Source organism: Homo sapiens, chromosome 21 (assembly GCF_000001405.40).
Source record: "Homo sapiens chromosome 21, GRCh38.p14 Primary Assembly".
In the NCBI taxonomy this organism is placed as follows: Eukaryota; Metazoa; Chordata; class Mammalia; order Primates; family Hominidae; genus Homo; species Homo sapiens.
Genome location: NC_000021.9, coordinates 36,631,450 through 36,653,660, shown reverse-complemented (window position 1 = coordinate 36,653,660; position 22,211 = coordinate 36,631,450). Strand labels below are relative to the sequence as shown.

At 45.8% G+C, this 22,211-nt stretch overlaps 1 long non-coding RNA gene across 2 annotated transcripts in view; it reads left to right on the top strand.

The window, feature by feature from the left end:
• LOC105369308 (uncharacterized) overlaps positions 1-20,980 on the top strand; it is a 66,311-nt gene extending 45,331 nt beyond the window's left edge. The window contains exons 2-3 of one of the 2 annotated variants that reach the window (NR_188246.1): positions 10,655-16,870; positions 20,091-20,980. This is a non-coding gene — a long non-coding RNA (uncharacterized LOC105369308). Of the gene's footprint in view, positions 1-10,650; positions 16,871-20,090 lie in introns of both variants that reach the window. The other variant, NR_188245.1, reaches the window with a different exon arrangement.
• Positions 20,981-22,211: the final 1,231 nt, after the last annotated feature.

Below are 22,211 nucleotides of genomic sequence, written 5' to 3'. Positions count from 1 at the left end.
GCTCCTGGGATGCTGGTTCCTTGAAATCTGGTGTTACTCATGCTCCCACCGCTGAAAGCACTTGGAGACATCCAGAGATATTTACAAATTATTGATTCAAAGTTGCCATTGTTGATTTATTTACTTAGAAACATCCTGGGGGAAAAAAAACATGGTCCGTGGATTTTGGGTGTTTTCCCCTGTTCTGTAGTGAGTTTGAGCTTAACTCTGTCTGCCATAACATTTGTCATCACAGAGCTGGATAGGACCCTCTCTATTTGATTCTGTTCCATCGGGGGCTTCCAAGGTGACTTATTTTCTTTCAGACACTCCTTGGCTCACTTATCACTCAGCATGGTTGAAAGATAAAATTTTAAAAATCAACTTTATTTATTATTCCAAGAATAGTTGACATCAAGATCAATACATCCAGACAGAAGCTATTAACATTTTAATGAGTTACTCAGTAATATTCCAAAGATGTGTCAATGAGTCATGGCCCCTTTGATTAAAGATGTACTTCAGAGACTACTGTAAATATATATAAGAAAGGCCCAGAGCAAGGAGCTGTCACCCATCAATCCTGGAGGAAGAGTGAGGGTTCATGAATAAAGAAGCTCACAAGGTGACTGTCCCTGGGCTACACAGTTTCCTGTAAGAGAAATAACCTTTTAAAATGCCATTGGTCTCCAATAACTGACAAACAAAGACGTCTACCTCTGCCGGTTGTCAGGTGTGTGCGTGGGGGGTGGATGCAGGGCTTCAGCAGCAGATAAGGTGGAGGAGAAATGTCCATGAGTCTCACTTGTAGATTCAGATCAGTATGGGGAGAGATAAAGCTTTGGAGGGAAAAACAAAGCCAGGAAAGGGGGACGTTATTGGAAAAGAGAAGACCGGGAAATCCTAAGAAGAGAGGACTGGGTGACAAAGGCCAACAGAAGGAAGTGTCCTCAGTGTACCCACATGGTTCCATCCAAGTATCAAACGCTTTGGCCCAAAGACCTGTCAGTCCTCATAATCACTGTTGGGCCCATTTTCTCCTCTACTTCATCTAACTTCCTAACGTTTCCTGGACAGGTACCCTAGAGGTCCCCCACGATCTATCTGGGGTCTAGACAGGCAGAGTCTAAAGCTCACCTCTCCCCAGGGAAGTGGGTAGTGGAATCTGATTCTGACATTGGGGTACCTCTGGACTGTGGTCTCTGAGAGGCAAACTTAATTCTGTGTTTGTGCCAAGGAGAAGAGGTCCACTTGTGTGTGAACTCGGGCCGAGGCACACCACAGGACCCCATGCGCCTGCTGGTGCAGACACAGAACCCATGGTTTGCTCTTGGGCTAGACCTTGGCGTGGGGGAAGGGGTGGGAGCCTGGGGGAGATGGTAGGGCATTACTGATATTCATCACTCTGGGAGGTTTCTAGTGGGGAGCTGCTATAGTTTGGATGTTTGTCCCCTTTAAACCTCATGTTGAAATTCAATCTCCCCAGGCCAGATGTGGTGGCTCCCACCTGTAAGCCCAGTACTTTGGGAGGCTGAGGCAGGAGGATTGCTTGAGCTCAGGAGTTCAAGACCAGCTTGGGCAACATAGTGAGACCCCATCTCTAAAAATTAGCCTAGTGTGGTGGCACATGACTTTAGTCCCTGCTACCCTGGACGCTGACGTAGGAGGATTGCTCAAGCCTGAGGAGGTTGAGGCTGCAGTGAGCCGTGATTGTGCCACTGTACTTCAGCCTGGGCACCAGAGTGAGACCCTGAAACAAGAAAGAAAGAAAGAAAGAAAGAGAGAGAGAGAGAGAGAGAGAGAGAGAGAAAGGAAGGAAGGAAGGAAGGAAGGAAAGAAGGAAGGAAGGAAGGAAGGAAGATCTATTGGAGGTGGGGCCTAGAAGAAGGTGTTTGGGTCGTGGGTGGCAGATCCCTCTTGAATGGCTTGGTGCCGTCTGTTCAGTCAATCCTAGGACTCCACCCCCTGGCCACAGGGAGTGACCCAGAGATGGGCCAGTGACCTAGGTCAAGGCTCCAGAATTCTCTCCTGGGGTTTTATGTATCAATGCTGGGAAGAGCAACACTCTTCCTCTCCTTCAGGTTTGCTGAGATGGAACAGCATAGGTTGGGAGCTCTCTGTGGCTATTTTCCACCCCCCACCCCACAAACCACATGCAGGGAGCCCATCTTCAGTCATGATAGTGACATCTAACATTTACAGAGCAGTTACCAAGTGCCAAACACTATCCCAAACATGCTTTATGAGAGTGACTCAATAATCCTCTCATCAGTCTTCTGAGATAGGTTTGTATCCCCATTTTGAAGATGTAGAAATTAAGGCACAGAGAGTTTCAGTAAATCACCAAATGCCACAGAGATATACAGTATGGAATTACTAGGACCTGAAGTCCAATAATTGGGTTTCAGAGCCTGAGTGCTTCAAAAATACAGAGAGAAGCAGGGCCGTGAGAGAGATGGATGAATGGATGGATGGATGGATGGACAGATGGATGGATGGATGGATGGATGGATGGACATAGGGCTGGCTGGCTGGCTGGATGGATGAATGGATGGATGGACATAGGGCTGGCTGGCTGGCTGGATGGATGAATGGATGGATGGATGGAGATATGGATGACTAGTTAACCAGGTAGATAGATAGGAGTTCTAGTGGCAACATACAGGTCCCTGTGTCTTAGTTTATTTGTGCTGCTATAACAAAATGCCTGAGACTGGGTAATTTGTAAGGAACAGAAATTTATTTCTCACAGTTCTGGGGGCCGGGAGTCCAAGGCACTCACAGAGGGCCTGGTCTCCACTCCCAAGATGGCACATGTTGCCACATCCTCCAGAGGGACGAACGCCATGTCTCACATGGCAGAAGAGCAAAAAGGGCCTAAGCTAGTTCCCTCCAGTCCTTTTTTTTTCTTTTTTTTTTGAGACAGAGTCTTGCTTTGTCACCCAGGCTGGAGTGCAGTGGCACGATCTTGGCTCACTGCCGCCTCCACCTCCCGGGCACAAGCAATCCTCCCACTTCAGCCCTCCAAGAAGCTGGGACTACAGGCTGGCTAATTTTTTAATTTTCAGTAGAGACGGGGTTTTTCTATGTTGCTCAGGCTTGTCTCAAACTCCTGACCTCAAGCAATCCACCCACCTTGGCCTCCCAAAGTGCTGGGATCACAGGCATGAGCCACCTCACCCAGCCCCTCCAGTCCTTTGTACTAATCCATTCCTGAGGGCGGAGCCTTCATGACCTAATCCCTTTCCAAAAGTTCCACCTCTTAATACCACCACAATGGCGATTAAGTTTTAACCCATGAATTTTAAGGAAAAAAATTCATTTTGAGGCCAACGTGGTGAAACCCCATCTCTACTAAAAATACAAAAATTAGCCGGGCCCGGTGGCACGAGCCTGTAATCCCAGCTACTTGGGAGGCTGAGGCAGGAGAATCGCTTGAACCTGGGAGGTGGAGGTTGCAGTGAGCCGGGATCATGCTGCTGCACTCCAGCCTGGGCAACAAAGCAAGACTCTGTCTCAAAAAAAAAAAAGGAATAATCTAGACATTCGTGGTGGCCCTTCATCTGACACAGGAGTATGAGCCATGAGCCTCTTTGGGGGTATGTTCAGGGAGGGATCTGTGTACCAGCTGTGAGATGAGGTAGGCCCCCCGGGCAGGCCCGGTGCTTTAGCGCCTCACCAAATTCCATCAGTCCCCCAAGGCTCACTGGGAGATGATGCCCGCCTCCAAGGTTAGCCTGTGGCATTTGATGCTCACCCTGGAAATGGCAGAAACACTTAATCCACCGTGGAATCAACTGATAAAAATAACTCTCAGCCAATAGCTTGTTTCTGCAAATTGCAATTAAGTGGCTGCTGGTACTTCCAAATAAATACGGTAACAATTTCCATCTCTGAGCAGCTTTATTTAATGTCCCGTGACATCTGACATACCATATCATTCTTCAAGCACCGAAACAAGAAACTCCATGTCATTCAACCCCTATTGCAGATGTGGAAGGCAATGGGTGGAGGGTGGCTTCCCAAGGACACTGTTGTTATCGTTGCATTCGGCTAAAGGGAAATCAGCCATGCATCAGGAACACGGGCCGGCGGGGAAGTCCTGGCCATTGCGTGTTCTTCCCTCAACGCCTCTATTCCTGAGTTGATGGTGTTTCTCCGGAGAGGAGAGATCCAAATGTTCTGGAATTGGGCCCTCTACACCCCTAAAGCCAAGGAGTTTTATTTTTAAAATATAAATACAATTTGCCAGGGGTATCCAGGTGAAATCAAAGATTAAAATCATGGCCTCTTGGGGCTTGCAGTGAGCCGAGATCGCGCCACTGCACTCCAGCCTGGGCGACAGAGCGAGACTCTGTCTCAAAAAAAAAAAAAAAAAATCATGGCCTCTTTTGGGGATGTAAGCAATAAGTGTGCATGCATGTGTGCGTGTGTGTGGGGGTGGGTTTATTGAAGTGAAATTCACTTAACATAAAACCAACCATTTTAAAGTGCACAATTCAGTGGCATTTCTACACCCGCTCCCTCTATCTAGTTCCAAAAGCCTTTCATCACCCCAAAAGGAAACCCTCTATCCACTAAGCAGTTGCACCCCATTCCTCTCTCCTCCTAGCCCCTGGAAACCACCAATCTGCTTTCTGTCTCTCTGGATTTGCCTATTCTGGGCATTTCATATAAATACAATCATGTCATGTGTGGTCCTTTGTGTCTAACCTCCTTCACCCAGCACATCTTCAAGGTTTATCCATACTGTAGGGTGACCAGAACTATTCCTCTTTGTGGCTGAGTAATATTCTGTCACATGCATATACAGCATGTGGGTTTTTAGTTGTGTTTTTTTTTTTTTTTTTTTTTTTTGAGACAGAGTCTCACTCTGTCACCCAGGGCTGAAGTGCAATGGCGTAATCTCTGCTCCCTGCAACTTCCGTCTCCTGGGTTCCAGCAATTCTCCTGCTTCAGGCTCCCTAATAGCTGAAATTATAGTCGTGCACCACCACGTCCAGCTAATTTTTTTTGTATTTTTAGTAGAGACGGGGTTTCAACATGTTGGCCAGGCTGGTCTTGAACTCCTTACCTCAAATGATCTGCCCACCTCAGCCTCCCAAAGTTCTGGGATTACAGGCATGAGCCACCATGCCTGGCCTCCTTTTTATGACTGAGTAATATTCTATAGTATGTATATAGAGTGTGTGAGGTTTTTTTTTTATTTTTATTTTTTCGAGACAGTGTCTGACTCTGTTGCCCAGGCTGGAATGCAGTGGTGCAATCTCAGCTCACTGCAACCTTCTCCTCCCAGGTTCAAGCGATTCTCATGCCTCAGCCTCCCGAGTATCTGGGATCACAGGCACCTGTCACCATTTCTGGCTAATTTTTGTATTTTTAGTAAGTAGAGACAGGGTTTCACCATGTTGGCCAGGCTGGTCTCAAACTCCTGACCTCAAGTGATCCACCCACCTCGGCCTCCCAAAGTGCTAGGATTATAGGTGTGAGCCACCACACCTGGCAGAGTGTGTGGGCTTTTTGTTTTTGTTTTTTTTTTCAAAGTTACTTGGACTCTGTCACCTTGGTCTACCTTGCCCAGGAAGTCCTATGGCCCTGCCACTATGTATTTTATGTACACAGCAAAAGGTGGGAATGGATTCAACAGCTGTGTCCTCAACAGCCGCGTCCTCTCTTCTACCTGCACCTGGAACTGCAACGGGGCAGATAAATATTTCCCAGAGACGCCTGCAGTAGCACACAGAGTGTGTTGGGAACAATTGTAAAGTCGTGCGGCTAGTGAAGCTTAGGACGAAGGCATTTTGAGCTTGTGAGTCATCCATGGCTGTAGTGGAGCTTTGGCCCACAGGGTTAAGCAAACAGTAAGGACAGGGATAAAACTGGGGCAAGGCTTCTAGAAGGTTAGGGAAAAGGGAATTCAGTGAGTGTTCTTGGGGTGTACTCCTAAAACACACTGTTTAGGGAACTCTTGCTGGTGTGGACTTCCTTAAACAGAAAGTCTCTGATGGGGAAGGAGGGTCCCTCACTTTGGACAGCTTTTGAGACCATTGCTAATTTGATCTCATTTTGACAATGAAGGATTTTACTCAACTTTTCATTGTCTTCCTTGAAATTTCCTTCATACCCCTCCTTCTCCCCCAGCTACCTTCAGTCCCATTGTCCCGGCTGACGGGCGGGCGGAAGTATTTCCTGTGCTCTGTGAATGCTATCACATGACACCCGAGTGTGGAATCGCATCCCCTGCTGATACAGTCTGAAAGCTGAGCTTCCCCATCCTCTCAGGTTTAAAGAAATGGTCACTAAAATTCGTTTAGTGTTTTTCTTCTTTTCCAACCAAGAAACATAAATGTGTGTTTGAGATCAACACAGACGATTCTTGAGTGAAATGGGACTTTACACATGGGGGTATTTGTTCATAGGTTTGAAACATTGAAAACCAATACTGTTCCGACTCTCAAGAGAAAAACGAGTTGTTTTTTTTCTCCCTAATGGAGTGTCGGTGATGGCTCTCCATTAGGGAGGAACTAAAGGTGGAGGTCCGCTTTTTAGTGTGGGCATGTCAGGTGCGAACCCTCCCATGCACTCTCCTCTCCTGTTCTCACTCACACACACAATTTAAAATGTTTATGGAATCTCTGCTCTGGGACCAGGACTCTGAGACCCAAAATAAATAGGATTCGTGCCTGCCTCCCACAAGGAGGGCAGTGGCCCTGTTTGGTTTTGCTTGGCACCTAGCACAAGCCCTGACACTTAGTAGGTGCTTTGTAAATGCTGACAGAAAGAATGAATGCTTCCCCTCACCTGGCTGTGTCAATATTTGCCTGGTTCTGCCAGGCCTGATATTTGCCACGTAGGCATTTCATGTCTGCACACACGTGGGGATGGCGAGTTGTGGACGTTCTCAACCTGACTAGCAGCAGTGCCTGCCAGGCAGGAAGTGCTACCATCTTGGAAGAAGTAAAAGAACCTGCTGATGGGATTCAGTCCGGCTAGGCTCTGCAGCCCACTTGGGGGTGTAAGGTGCCCATGCTGGCCTCAAAGCAGAGGTGTCCCTGCCACATGGCCCATTCTTTGCAATGTGAAAGCCAAAATGGAAAATGAAAATAAATAAATAAATAAGTAAACCAACAACAAGTAGTCCCAAGAGAAACAAAAAGGTATTCCTAATGGAAATCTCATGGGTGACTCCACAGGAGCTGGAAAAGGCTGATTCCTGGAGCCCACGGGTAGAAAAAGCCACATCCACTTACTTCCCAATTCTGCTCCAGGTCAGTGCCGAGGGCCAGGCAGCCTCCAGAGCTTTCTGGATCCCTGAGGACAGAGACTGGGTGGCCAGCTGGGAGCATCTCCAAACAATTCCTTGCTTCCCAGGATATGGTGTCCGGGGAGGAGAATGCTCTTTGTAGCACCAAAGTGTGTTTCAGGCGGGGCAGAGTTCACAGACAGCTGCAAGATTGTGGCCAAATGGGAATTTTTCGAAGTGAATTGGCTGTTTATTCAGTTGTGTGTTTGTGGGGCACTCAGACATAAATATCATGTGAGCCTGAGTTCGGTCAGACAATCGAAGTTGGGTAAGTTGGGAACTGTTTCATTTGTTATCCTGACTGAACTAGAACATGAGTGTTTTTGTGGGGTTGACCAAATATTGGAATCTCGACTGAATTTTTAGGAGAACAATATCTAGTGTGCCACTCAGGAGGAGAATACTTTTGTTGGTTGGTGGCCAACTCAGGATCATAAAAAGAAAATGAAGACACCTTAAAACATACAGGACAAGGAAACATTGATCAATGAGTAGCACTGATTTATTGGCCAGGGTTCTCCAGAGAAATAGAACCAATAGAATGTATATCATATACTTTTATATATGTATATGATCTCTCTCTCTCTCTCTCTCTCTCTCTCTCTCTATATATATATATATATACACACACACACACATATGCAGAGAGATATTACACACACACACACACACACACACACACACATACGCAAAGAGATTTTCAGGAATTAGCCCACGGGATCATGGAGACTGGCAAGATGTTTGTTTGTTTGTTTGTTTGTGATGGAGTTTCGCTCTTGTCACCCAGGCTGGAGTGCAGTGGCACAATCTCGGCTCACTGCAACCTCTGCCTCCCAGATTCAAGTGATTCTCCTGACTCAGCCTCCCGAGTAGCTAGGATTATAGGCACCTGCCACCATGCATCGCTAATTTTTGTATTTTTAGTAGAGACGGGGTTTCGCCATGTTGGCCAGGCTGGTCTCAAACTTCTGACCTCTGGTGATGTGCCTGCCTCAGCCTCCCAAAGTGCTGGGATTATAGGTTTGAACCACTGTGGCTGGCCGAGACTGGCAAGTTTGAAATCTGCAGAGCAGACCAGCAGGCTAGAGACCCAGGGAAGAGTTGATTGCAGCCTGAGTCTGAAGGCCTTCAGGAGACAGAATTCCTTTTTTTTTAGGGGACTCCAGTCTCTTTATAGGGCCTTCAGCTGATTGGATGAGGCCCACACACGTGATGGTACTTGGCTTTACTCAACATCCAATGATTTACATGTTAATTTCATCTGAAAAATACCTTCACAGCAACATTTATACTGATGTCTGACTAGACAACTGGGCAGCACGGCCTAGCCAAGTTGACACCTACAATTAACCACCACAACACCTTGCATTTCTTTTATATTTAAAATATCCTTTTACTATCAGGGAACACTTCTACACTGCTGCTGGGAAGGTAAACTAGCACAGCCACTATGGAAAACAGTGTGGAGATTCCTTAAAGAACTAAAAGTAGAACTACCATTTGATCCAGCAATCCCACTGCTGGGTATCTACCCAAAGGAAAAGAAGTCATTACACGAAAAAGATACTTGCACACGCATGTTTATAGCAGCACAATTCACAATTGCAAAGTCATAGAACCAATCCAAATGCCCATCAATCAATAAGTGGATAAAGAAACTGTGGTGTATACACACACACACACACACACACACATATATACACATATATATACATACATATACATATATATATACACATATATATATATGATGGAATACTACTCAGCCATAAAAAGGAATGAATGAACAGCATTTGCAATGACCTGGATGAGATTGGAAATTTTTATTCTAAGTGAATTAACTCAGGAATGGAAAACCAAACATTGTATGTTCTCACTGATACGTGGGAGCTAAGCTATGAGGACACAAAGGCATAAGAATGATACAATGGACTTTGGGGACTTGGGGGGAAGAGTGGGAGGGGGGTGAGGAATAAAAGATAACAAATATGGTGCAGTGTATACTGCTCGGGTGATGGGTGCAGCAGGAGCTCACAAATCTCCACTAAAGAACTTACTCATGTAACCAAATACCACCCATACCCCAATAACTTATGGAAAAAATAAAATTTAAAAAAATGTCCTCCAAAAAACAATCTTTTGGAGTGCAATGGATGAGTTGTAAGGGTGGGCCACTGGAAGAAAATTAGCAGTTGGCACCTACCCGCTGTCTTGGGAGGCGGGGAAGCACCTCCGGGAGGTTGCAGGCTGGGCAAATGATGCGGAGCTGGTGGCTAAGTCTGCAGTGAAGCCAGGGGTCTTGGGAAGAGGAGGCCGCATGGGAGATGGGGGGCGTGACAAGACGAAAAAATCTCAGCTCAGGAAAAGAGGGGCCGCACCACACCGTATGCTATGCCCCTGAGGGGCGGCTGTGCCTCCGTGGTCCTGGGGGGAAGGAACCAGGCCTGCTGAGGACACGGTGGCCATGAGGCTGCATGACCAGCACCCTTCTGTAGGGTTTCTCCAGCTGAGAAATAATAAAGGTAAATAAAAATATTAATAAAATAATTTCTCACAAGTAAGAAATAATAAAATAATAATGACAAATGATGACTCAGTACTTAGTCATGGGACATTTAAATCAACTTTTATTTTTCTGGCAACTCATTGAACATGGCTTTGTCTTTGAATTAATGAAATTTGCCTTCTGCTAATCAAGAAGTCTCTCCCAGCCAGGTGTGCTGGCTCACACCTATAATCCCAGCACTTTGGGAGGCCAAGGTGGAGAGTCACTTGAGACCAGAAGTTTGAGACTAGCCTGGCCAACATAGTGAGACCCCCATCTCTACAAAAAATAAAAATAAAAAAATTAGTTGGGCATGGTGGTGGCATGTGCCTGTGGTCCCAGCTACTCCAGAGGCTGAAATGGGAGGATTGTTTGAGCCCAGGAGGTTGAGGTTGCAGTGAGCCATGATCATGCCACTGCACTCCAGCCTGGGTGACAAAACAAGACCCTGTCTGGAAACAAAAAACAAAACAAAAAATCTCTCCTGGAAACAGAAATGGAGGTCAGCAAGCCAGGTGGCATGTGCCTGTTGTCTCAGCTGCTTAGGAGGATTGCTTGATCCCAGGAGTTCAAGTCCAGTGTGGGCATTGTAGAGACCCTGTCTCTACAAAAATAACCAAGCAAACCAAGGGACCGTTTTGGAGAAGGGTGATGATCTGGGGCACATGGTGCCTCTAACTCTTGCAGAGATTGTCCAAAATCTTTAATGGTCAAATGACCCAGGTCTGTTTCACTCATTTTCCTAAGGATTGAAAAAACTCAAGGGCATATGGATTTAAGACCAGGCAAAATTCTCACCCTGTCCTTCCTCCTCTTGTCTTAGATAGACGCCAGCTCGAATGCCGCCTCCCGTCTGCTCCTGGTTGGGATCCTGTCTTCAAGTGCAACAGCCAAGCCAGCTGCCCACTCCTCTGTGTCCTCTTAGATTGTGCTCTGGGTGTGTGTCTTCTCTGCTGGATTAAGGAGCTCACTGGAGTGGAGGTGACTGCAGTCAGCAAAACACTCAGGAAATGATTGCTGGAGAAGAGTGGGGAAGGGACCCCACATCTCCCCTCTGCCTGCCCTCCCTTCTGCCTGCACCTTGCGGCCTCTCTTGCAGTGAGATGTGGCCGTGGGACTAGATTCCTGCCCATGGGAATGTAAGGAAGTGCCGTTTCTGGATATGGGACTCATGTCTCTGTGTAGGACTCATCTCCTCCATACTCTTTCCCCTTCCCCTGGCTGGAAGCAGGGGAAGGCAAGTGAATTCAGTCACGTAGACAACAAGAAAGCCATGGGGATGGGGGAGCTACACGGGAAAGGGACTTGGGTTTCTGAGTGACTGTGTGGAGCTGAGCAGCCCTCACTACTTGGAACTCCCTGTAAGACAGAAAGAAACTTCTCTGGTCTAAAGCCACAAGGACTTAGCTTTACCCCAAGAACAGAGCACACCCAGTGGAGCACTACGTCTAAGAAGTGTGAGCACCCACAGCATGGAGTGTGCCAGATTGGACAACAGACATTTCCTAAGATTGAGTGACTTTAGGAGAGCAGGGAGTGCCTGGCTCAGGCAAGGTGGCACCTTTGGGGGTCCCAGGTGGCAGACAGAGCTTCGCCCAGGTCGAACTGTGCATGGGCCCAGGGTGCTGGCCAGAGGTGGGGCGGCTGGAGTTCACAGGCCAGGCAGCCAAGGGGTTGGTCTGGCAAGTGGTCTGCCACCATGGACCCAGGCCTCAGACCAAACAGGCTGCTAAAGACACGGGTCCTCAAATCATCTGCAGGCAGGGTCTGGCCTGGGCCCCAGGAGTCCACAGGCAGGGAGCACCCTGGGGAAGAGCTGAGGATGCTGCATCAGAAAAGAGGTAGGGAAGGCGGGGCAGGCCGGAGCACCCACACATGCGCTGCGTGTTAGGCACATACACACACGACCCTATTTAACCCCCAACAGCCCTGACAAGCAGGTGTCATTGAATTCATTGTTGGCACCGTGGCTGTGGCACTGAGTCCAGGAGCCCTGGGTCCTCCTCACCACATCACCCTAGTTAGATGGGCAACTCATTTCTTCTTTGTTTATACTATGTGAAGTTTGGTTTCTTTCCATTTATTTGTCAAATAAGTAAATGTTTTAAAATTTATTTTAATTCTTTTTTTAAAGATAGGATCCTGCTCTGTTGCCCAGGCTACAGTGCAATGGCATGATCACAGCTCACTGCAGCCTCTAACTCCTGGGCTCACGCAATCCTCCTGCCTCAGCCTCTCAAGTAGCTAGGACTACAGGCACATGCCCCTGTGCTTGGCTATTTTTTTCTTTTTTCTTTCAGTAGAGACAGGATCTTACTATGTTGACCAGGCTGGTCTCTAACTTATGGCCTCAAGTGATCCTCCCACCTCAGCCTCCCAAAGTGTTGGGATTCTAGGCATGAGCCACCTTGCCTGGCCAACAAATGTTTTTGAACATTTACTCTGTGCCTGGAACTACATATAGTGTAACAGGGGAGGCAGAATATTAAACAGTTAACATGATAAGTAATGAAAATAGTGAGTGAGCATAAATAGGGTGCTCAGGGGAAGTCTCGTGGAGAAGGTGACATTCAGTTAGTAACTAATTCCCTTGGGAAAGGCTAATGCGAGAACACCGAACACTGTTTAAATGCATGCTCTGAGCTCTTCCCAGCAAAAGTTCTTTCTAAGTGGTTCTCAACAGGGGGTGATTGTGCCTCCCACTCCCAGGGACATTTGGCAATGTTCAGAGACATTTTTTGATGGTCATATCTGGGAGGGGTGCTACTGGCATCTAGTGGGTAGAAGCTAGGGGTGCGGCTAAACAACCCACCACGAACAAGACAGCCTCCGACGACGAAAAGCGATCCAGCTAAAAATGTGAATAGTGCTGGGGTCGAGAACCTGCCCTGGAGGACAGATGTGCTTTTGCTGAAGTCACTTAGAAGGCAAGGTGGCTCCATCTGCCCTTCCCCTCTGCAGCTTGGATAAAGGGTGGACCACACATTGTTCAGCAGAGCAGATGGGAGCGCCTGGCGCCCTGGGATCCCGCATCCTGGCCGCGGTCTGCCGACATGGGGTAAGGAAGAGAAAGATGATGATTTGTACTAACTGGTACAACCTACTGCCAAATCGCCAGGGAAAGCGAATGAAACACATCCCAAGAAACTCTGTTTATGGTGCAGGAAGGGTTTAGTGACTTTACTGCTCAGATTACCATTTGGATATCAGTTTCATCATCGTCAACCTCCAATTTCCTGTTTTGCTTATCTTAGAATGACTCTTTTAAAAAATGTTTGCACTGCTCAGATGGCTTTGGCTTCAAGTTGATTAGATATGGAACTGGTTTATAATGGATTAGAATGCAGGATTTGTTTGCTTTGTAATATTTTAAGAAAGCAATGAAAGAAGCGGCAATGACAGGGAGAGATATTGTATACTTACAGTCTGATTCTTTTTTCATTACCGGAAAAGACAACTAATTTAGGAATGTGGATTATGGCCCTTGGTCCCTTTTTGATTTGTGTTTCACTTCAGGGTTTTCCTGAGTTACAAATCCCTGCAGATTTGTGAGACTTAAGAGGTACACATGTACATTTATTTTTCCTTTTAGCATTTTTTTTTTTAGCCTGCAGGATCCCATGGGGTTTTTTTCCCCCTCCTCCTTTCCTTTATGTGTTTCCTGATAAGCCAATCTGTGTACTGCTTTCCCTGCACTGTCTGTACAGTTGGAAGCATTATTCAAATGAGTCCTGTGAAACTGATGGCCTGTGGCCCCGGTTGTTAAACACCGACACGCTGCTCATTAACACTCAGCATCCGGATATCCTAATTTCAGCTCAGATTTTGGTAAATATATATTTTCTTGATCATTTCCAACTACCATGCAAAGCCACATCCTGTCCTCTCTGAGATGCTTAGAAGAGTGTATTGTGCAGGGACGGCTTTGCAGACAGGCAGCAGGAGGCTACACATGCTGATGTCGGGGCCAGGAGACCATCAGAGTAGTTGAGAGAGGGCTTGCTGTTGGGTCCAAGACTGAGAGCTTAGATTCCTGGGGCTTTCTGGGCCTCAGGGTTAGAGGTTGTCTTTGGCGTATTTCAATATAACCAGTCTTTAGGATCCTTTGATATCATTGTTAGAAACAGTAATGCGTAGTCATGGGCTGAGAACTTGGGACCAGGATCTAGGATTTTTGGTCTCTCAGCCCTGGCTCCCCACTTCCTGGGATAGAACCAAACCAGTGTGTATGGAAGTTGACAGGCACACTGTGCATTGGGGGTTGAGCTGTGTCCCTGCAAGAGATATGTTCAAGTCTGGACTCCTGGTACTTGTGAATGTGACCTTATTTGGAAATGGAGTCTTTGCAGATGTAACTAAGATGGAAGTTATAAGAAGAGGAAAATAGATACAGAGACACACATACAGAGGAGGACACCATGTAAAGGCACAGACATGCGGAGGGATAACAGCCATGTGACAACAGGGATGGAGACTGGGGTTACGCAGTTGCAAACCAAGAGCAACCATTAGAAGATAGAAGAGAGGCATGGAACCAGTTCTTCCTTTGAGTCTCCAAGAGGGAACCAGTCCTGCCAACACCTTCATTTTGGATGTCTGCCTCGAGAACCGTGAGAGAATGGTTTCTGTTATTTCAAGCCAGCCAGTTTGCAATACTTTGTGACTGCAGCCCTAGGAAGCTACTACGGTAGCTCATTAAGGGCAACAAAAGGATTCTTCAACTTCCAATTTTTAGGATAAAAAGAGGCAAATGTATTTAACTCAGAATAATTACACTGAAACTATTTTTTTTAATAAGTGAGAAAACATCAATAGCGGTCAAATGGATCCCATGAATTAGTCAGTAAAGGGGTTAGGGGTAGAATATAGGCATTTGTATTTTTAATCAAAATGAAGAACTAAGCAAGGCACAGATAGAGCCCCCACTCCAGGCTCAGTCTCTGGTGGTTACTAGTTTAGCGGGATAACTGGTCAACCTGGACAGGGCATGTAGATCAGTTTTGAATTTCTTGGTTGCACAGAATTTAAAAAGTTCTTGGGCCGGGCACGGTGGCTCAGGGCTGTAATCCCAGCACTTTGAGAGGCTGAGGCGGATGGATCCCCCGAGGTCAGGAGTTCGAGACCAGCCTGGCCAACATGGTGAAACCTCGTCTTTACTAAAAATACAAAAAATTAGCTGGGCGTGGTGGCGGGTGCCTGTAATCCCAGCTACTCAGGAGGCTGAGGCAGGAGAATTGCTTGAACCCAGGAGGCAGGGGTTGCAGTGAGCCCCAAGATCTCACCATTGCACTCCAGCCTGGGCGACAGAGAGAGACTCCATCTCAAAAAAAAAAAAAAAAAAAAAAAAGTCCTTGATTCACCACTGCCATTGAGACCAATAAAGTTTTCACTCTTTCACTAGAAGATTCTTCTTGAGTAGCATCCTTTCTCTTGCTTCTCTTAGCTCAGCTTTAACATAATTCTAATGGTGCTGTTAGTTGACAGTGAACAACTCACACTCAGTTCCCCCTGTAGCCACTTTTGAGTGGAAAATGCATCCAACTATTTTGTTAATCACAGCAACGTGGTGGCTGCAAGAAATAGCTTTCTGGTGCCTGGGAGTCTTTCTGTCCATCTCTAGGCCTCAATTTGTTAAGATCCCACTGCATATGAAAGACAGAAATAAATGAAAATAGCATTAATGCTTCAGACATGAATTGAGGACTACGGCGTATTGTTAAGTTCCATGACAGCGCCTTAAGTCTCAAGATCCAACATCTGCCTTGATAACTCTGGGCATTGCCACAATGGTTTATCAGCGCCCATTGTTTCAAATGGACCCCACTGCCTGGTCAATTGGGTTGCAGCTCATCTGGAAAGATTATACATGTAGGCACCAGCAGACTGTACAGGCTACTCTGGGCTACTTGGATGTCTTAATTTCAGGGCTTCTAACCCCCTGCCTACAAAATGCTGGTATACACTTTGGACAGAGATAGGTATCTACTGGGCATTCAGGAAATGTGATAACCTGGCACCTAGGGGGTATCTTTGGAGATTTGCCCCAGTGTTGATGAAGCCCTTGAAGAGATATCTTGAGCTAGCTCACACTATAGGTATGGACTTGCTGGAGCTGTTGGATGGGCTCATTGCCCATGAAATAATCCAGTAGAGAAGAGCAAGAGGTCTATGCAGGGAGAAGATGAAATACTAGAGAACAAATGGGTCACAATTCCCAATTAGCCGATCCAAGCAGTTGGTCAGACTTACACAGTAACAGTACCTGTATTAACCAGTCCTGTTACTGGTGCATATACAAATGGCAACCAAAGGTCACCATACATTAAAAGAAAAAGGGCCCCAAATAAGAGGACCAAGAGGATAAATAGAATAATTGAGGCCAGGGAAAGCATAGATTAATTAAGCAACAGGTAAGAACTTAAAACAAAATTCCTATCTGAACCTCTAATAAGTTTCTTAGAAAAAACTTAGAAGATATTACATTCATAAAATGTGAATGGTTGCTCTGAAAAAAAGAGCACTTAGAGAATAAGAAAGTTCTTGAAAATTAAAAACTTTATTACCAGAATAAAACTTCTAATAAAAAGCTTGGAAGATAAGTAAACAAAATCTTCCAGAATAAAAAGTTGGAAAATAAGAAAGAAAATGTAGATGACATGGAGGACCAATTCAGTAAGTACAGCATTTTATCAGATGGCAATCCCACAAATACAAAAGAGGAAAATTGAAAGGAGAAAATATTCAGAAAAAAATAATTGATTTGAAATTACCGGAGTTTTAAAAATGTACCAGAGCTGAAGAGAAACACAAGGATCAGCTAGAAAGTGTTCACCAAATGCTGGACAAGTATAACAGGTTAAATTTCACCCCGGGCACAATTTTGTGAGATTTCAGAACACTAGACATAAAGAGAAGATCCTAAAAACTCACAAATACAAAAAACCAACACCTACAAAGGGATGAATATCAGATTTGCATTGGATTCTTCATCAGTAACACTGGATGCTAGAAAACAGTGGGATAATGCCTTCAAAGTTCTGAAGGTAAGTGATTTAACCATGGATCTTTATGTCTAGCAATCTGTCAATCAAACGAGAAGACAAAATAATGGCAGTTCATGCATAAAAAGACTAAAAGTTTTACCTTCCTGGTACTCTGTCTGAAAAGATTACTTAAGAATATGCTCCAGCAAAATAATGACCACAATAGCTAGCACTTACTGAGGGCTTACTAAAAGCCAGGCACTGTTTTTAAGCACTTTATATACATTAACTAACGTCATCCTCACAACTACCCTATGAGTTGGGTTACTATTTTTATCATCACAATCCCATTTTATATATAAGGAAACAGATATGGAAAGATCAGATAACTTGTTCAGAGTTGTGCAGCTACTCTGTGGTGGCCCTAGAAGTTGCACCTGGGAGTGTAGCTCCAGAGCCTAGCACTTGCCCACCATGGCCTCTTGGAGCTAGAAAGGATCCAACAAAAGGAAGTTGGCTGCAGGAATAAGGGAACTTAGCTGCAGGAAAGATGAGAGCCACACAGCAGAACTAGAAAGCAAATATTCCAAATTAGAACAAAAGCAGCTTTCAGGAAGTACAGCTTTACAAAGAAAGCAGATTCTCTTAACAAGCAGCATGATTAAGAAGCTACATGATCATATGACGAGGTGAGGCAATCTGCTTCCTTTGTGAACAAACATTTAAGACAACAGTTAAAGCATGACCAAAATAAAGAAACTGCAAAGATGTCATGGTTTAAATGTGAAGCCAAATATAATAGGGTATGATGTGAACTACTCATGAAGTGTAAGAAAAGAGAATCCAGTTGACCTTAACACTTCTGTTCAGTCTCCTTTGAGGGTCCCAAGTTGGTGGCAAAAAATCAAATTTCTTTCTTGGTGGATTGAGTGTCACCATACAGTTCACAGACACCAATATTTGCATAATCATAGTATTATGAATACTGTTTATTGGGTTTCACTTTTTAGAACCAACCTTGAGGCCAAACTCTTAGTTATTGTTACTAAGTAGAATGTAGATGTTCAAATCTTGACTAGGTTGAGAGGAAAGAGAGGGAAGATTTGGAATGAAGTAGAGGGGTCATGTCCTTCATTATAGATCCAAAGTCAGATATTATCTATAGTTGGTGGGTCAAGAGATTTTAATATATTGTTTAAAGCAGGACTTCTCAACCTTGGCACTATTGAGATTTGGGCTGGATAGCTCTCTGTTGTGGGAGCTGTCCTGTGCATTGTAGGATGTTCAGCAACATTGCCAGCCTGGACTCACTAGATGGCAATAGCACTCCCCAAGTTGTAACTACCAAAATATGTCTCCAGGCATTGCCAAATGCCCCCTGAGGAGAGGGAGATTGCCCCCGGCTAAGAACCACTGGTTTAGATTTATAAATATAATCATTAGAAGAACAAAAACCAGGCCAGGTGTGGTGAGTCACGCCTGTAACCCCAGCATTTTGGCAGGCCGAGACAGGCAGGTTGCTTGAGGCCAGGAGTTCAAGACCAGCCTGGCTAACACGGCAAAACCCCAACTCCACTAAAAATACAAAAAATTATATGGGCGTGGCGGCATGTGCCTGTAGTCCCAGCTGCTGGGGAGGCTGGCATGAATGGCATGAACCCGGGAGGCTGAGTTTGCAGTGAGCCGAGATCATGCCACTGCACTCCAGCCTGGGCAACAGAGTGAGACTCCATCTCAAAAAAAAAACAAAAAAAAAAAAAACAAAAACTAAAATAAAACAAAAATTAGGTGAAGTTGGAGGTGCTGGGTGGATAGTATTACAGATAAGCAAATCACCCATCTTTCATAGCTATAAGTTAATAGATTGTGTTCTAAAGTTGATAAATCAGGAAAAGGCCCTATAATTTTAATATGCAATAGTTTGAAAATCAGGTGTAATAAAGTTAAAAAAATGAATCTACTGGCGTCTAGGCTGCAAAAGGAAACAATTGAAACAGAAGCCTCAGCTTGCAAAACTGTGGTATAAAAACTCCCAAGCAATAAAACTCTCAAACAATAAACTGTACCAAACCATAACATTCAAGACAAACTATCTAAGCTCATTGTTAGGGTCTGAATGTTTGTGTCTTTCCAAAATGCATATGTTAAAATCCTAACCCCAAAGGTGATGGTATTGGGAGGTGGGGTCTTTGGAAGGTGATTAAGTCATGGTGGGGGGGCGTTTTGGGGGAAAGTCCTCATGAATGGGATTGGTGCCCTTTTAAAAGACAACTGTTCCCTCTCCACCCCTAGAGCAAGGCAGCCCCTTCTACCATGTGAGGACACAGAAAGAAGGCATCACCTAAGAACCAGAAATCAGGACCTCACCAGACATGGCATCTGCCTATGCCTTGATTTTGGACTTCTCAGTCTCTAGAACTATGAGAAATACATTTCTTTTTTTCTTTTCTTTTCTTTTCTTTTTTTTTTTTTTTTGAGACAGAGTCTTGCTCTGTCACTGAGGCTGGAGTGCAGTGACATGATCTTGGCTCACTGCAACCTCCATTCCCCAGGTTCAAGTGATTCTCCTGCCTCAGCATCCTGAGTAGCTGGGATTATAGGCACCCGCCACCACACCCAGCTAATTTTTGTATTTTTAGTAGAAACAGGGTTTCACTGTGTTGGCCAGGCTGGTCTCGAGCTCCTGACCTCAAGTGATCCACCCACCCTGGGCTCGAGAAATAAATTTCTGTCATTTATAGACCACTCAATTTATAGCATTTTGTTAAAGCAGCCTGAACTAACTTCACCCTTATTCAGATGGCTATGTTCTCAAGAAGACCATGGGCACGCTGATCTCACAGTAACGGCACAGGCTTAAGTGTACTGCATGTATTCTAAAGGAAAGATGCTGTCCCAGCAACTCACCTTGTTTACAAGTTGACCAGTCCTCCCAAGAATGACCCCACATCCCCTGCTAGTTCCCATAATGATACCCTTCCTGACTGTCCTTATTTGAGAAGTCTATAGCTCCCCAGTGTGTGCTCCCTTGCAAGCTAATGCAACTCACTGTGTTTGACAAGTGTGTTCCTGGTGGTCTTGGGCTGGTAGCTTTAACATTTGAAACAATTTAAAATGTGAAGTCTTGCATTGTTGGTTATCTTTGCTTTAGTCTGCCCAAAATATCTATTTGCCAATAGGGATACTTGAATTTGTTACAGAAGCAATCAATGCAAAAGGGTAAGTTTTGGCTTGAGAGAGGCTGCTCCTAATTCCTTTATCTTTGCTCTCTTTGAGCCAGGAGGACTCAGCTTTAAGAAACAGTGAAGCCTTTGAAGAAGGAAGTCTCCCATTTATCCTACTCTAGGAAGGACCTTTACATGCTCCATGCATTCAATGTTTACAATAACAAAAGTGGCTCTGATGTTTCCTGTTGTGCAAGAGAAGGTGAAGTCAAGAGATATTCGGTGACTTGCCCCAGTCCTCCTTCCCAGGAAGTGGCCAAGGGGTCTTTACAGGTTGATGTAAGATTGGCCCTGTGCAGTTCCCAGGAGGTCTGGGGTAAGAGTGGATGGGCCAAGGCCCTGCGGGGCCACATTCTCCTGATGGGACTCGTGTGGCCAGACTCTGCTCCTGTCACTTGGAGACTGTGTAGTGGCCATCTCCACTCATCCTGGGACTGGTGCTATGAAGTTGCCACCAAGAAGGATGTTTCCCTTTTCTTCCTCCCCACACCCACTTCCCCACAGGGTGTGGTGGCAGCAGGTGCCTCTTCTGCATGGCCAGGGTCCCCCATCGCTCACAGCTGTCAGTGTGCACATGCTCAGACCTGCACCATTCCTGTCCAGCCCCTGCAGTTACCACCTGGAATCTTCAGCCAGGACTTGGAGGCTGTGAGGTCAGTCGGGAAGTGGATCAGGAGGCCACCCCCTTCTGTGGCACTTCTGAGATGACAACTTGTTTCACAGTTGGATGGGGGTGGGGAAGGAAAGAGCGGCCCCATTATTCCAGAACATTTTATCCACACAGGCTCAGACACCCTGTGATGAAGAGTCCAAGAACAGCCTGAGATAAGGATGTCATTCTTCTTTCACAGGCCCCACGATGGGTTTATCTTTTGGGACCAAGACATTGGGTCCCTACATGTTTTCCCCTACCCTTCTTAGGAAATAAAATATCAAACAACCCACAGTCCCGGAGCAGTTATTATTCAGATAGTTCCAACCAGAACACCCTCATGAATTCTGTCCAGTTCATGCAGCATTTTGCCTGCATTACTGGGTGAGGAAACAGCTCTCGGCCCCTTTGCTGGATGGTTTGAGAGAGGACAGGAGCATTCAGTCATCCTGGCATCCCAGATCCTCCAGGAGCTTGTTATCATTTAGGGACAGCCTGCATCTGAGAGAAGGTTTGGCAGGACTGCTGTCAGCCTGACTGCTGGCTTCTTTGAACCATCAGTTCCGGGAGAAGCAGGGGCCACTTTTCTTGTAAGTTCCTGGCGCTCAGACATAATAAGCATCAGTTAGCAGCTCTTCACCCCTCACCAATGTTAGTGCTGGCTACTGAGTCTTCAGAGCTGTGAGGGCACGGAGTTTATAATCCAGAGAAGTCACCCTGCCAGCACGTTTCCCACCTGGAATGGGAGGCAGAGGGTGGGGGAAGAAGGCAGCATTGGAAAAAACACCCACAAGTCCTGTAGACCTGATCTCCCTTTCAGGGTTAGGATGTGGCTTTTTTCAGACTTACAGGAAAAGACAGACTGTTGGCAGGTTAATCCAGATCATCAAAGGAGGGACAGGCCCAGTGGTTCACTCCTGTAATCTCAGCACTTTGGGAGGCCACGATGGGCAGATTGCTTGAGGCCAGGAGTTCAAGAACAGCCTGGGCAATATGGTAAAACCCCATATCTACAAAAAATACAGAAATTAGCCAGGCATGGTGGCATGCACCTGTAGTCCCCGCTACACGGGCGGCTGAGGTGGGGGAATCACCTGAGCCCGGGAGGTTGAGGCTGCAGGGCGCAGTGATTACACCACCATACTCCAGCGCAGGTGGAGTGAGACTCTGTCTCAAAAAAAAAAAAACAAAACACTAAAGGATAAAACCCCAAACTGGTCTGTCTATGATATAGACAGATAGGTTATTTTTATTCCAGGGTATGGTAAAAAGTGCAACTCTCCTAAGCTGCCCTTATCTGTGGCAGCAAAAAGCCAAACATTCGCCTTCTTGTTAATGGGTTTTCACAACTCAAACACTCAACGTAGGTCAATTTTGAATGTCAGGTGCTCAACCACCCCGCTTTTTTCCATCTTCTCCAAGAACTGTGATGGAGACCAAATAAGTCTTCTCAGTTCTTTGGTCAGCCTATCCTCCAAGCTGGCCCTGTATCTGCTGAGGGCTGGCTGCAGACCTGTTCTCCAAC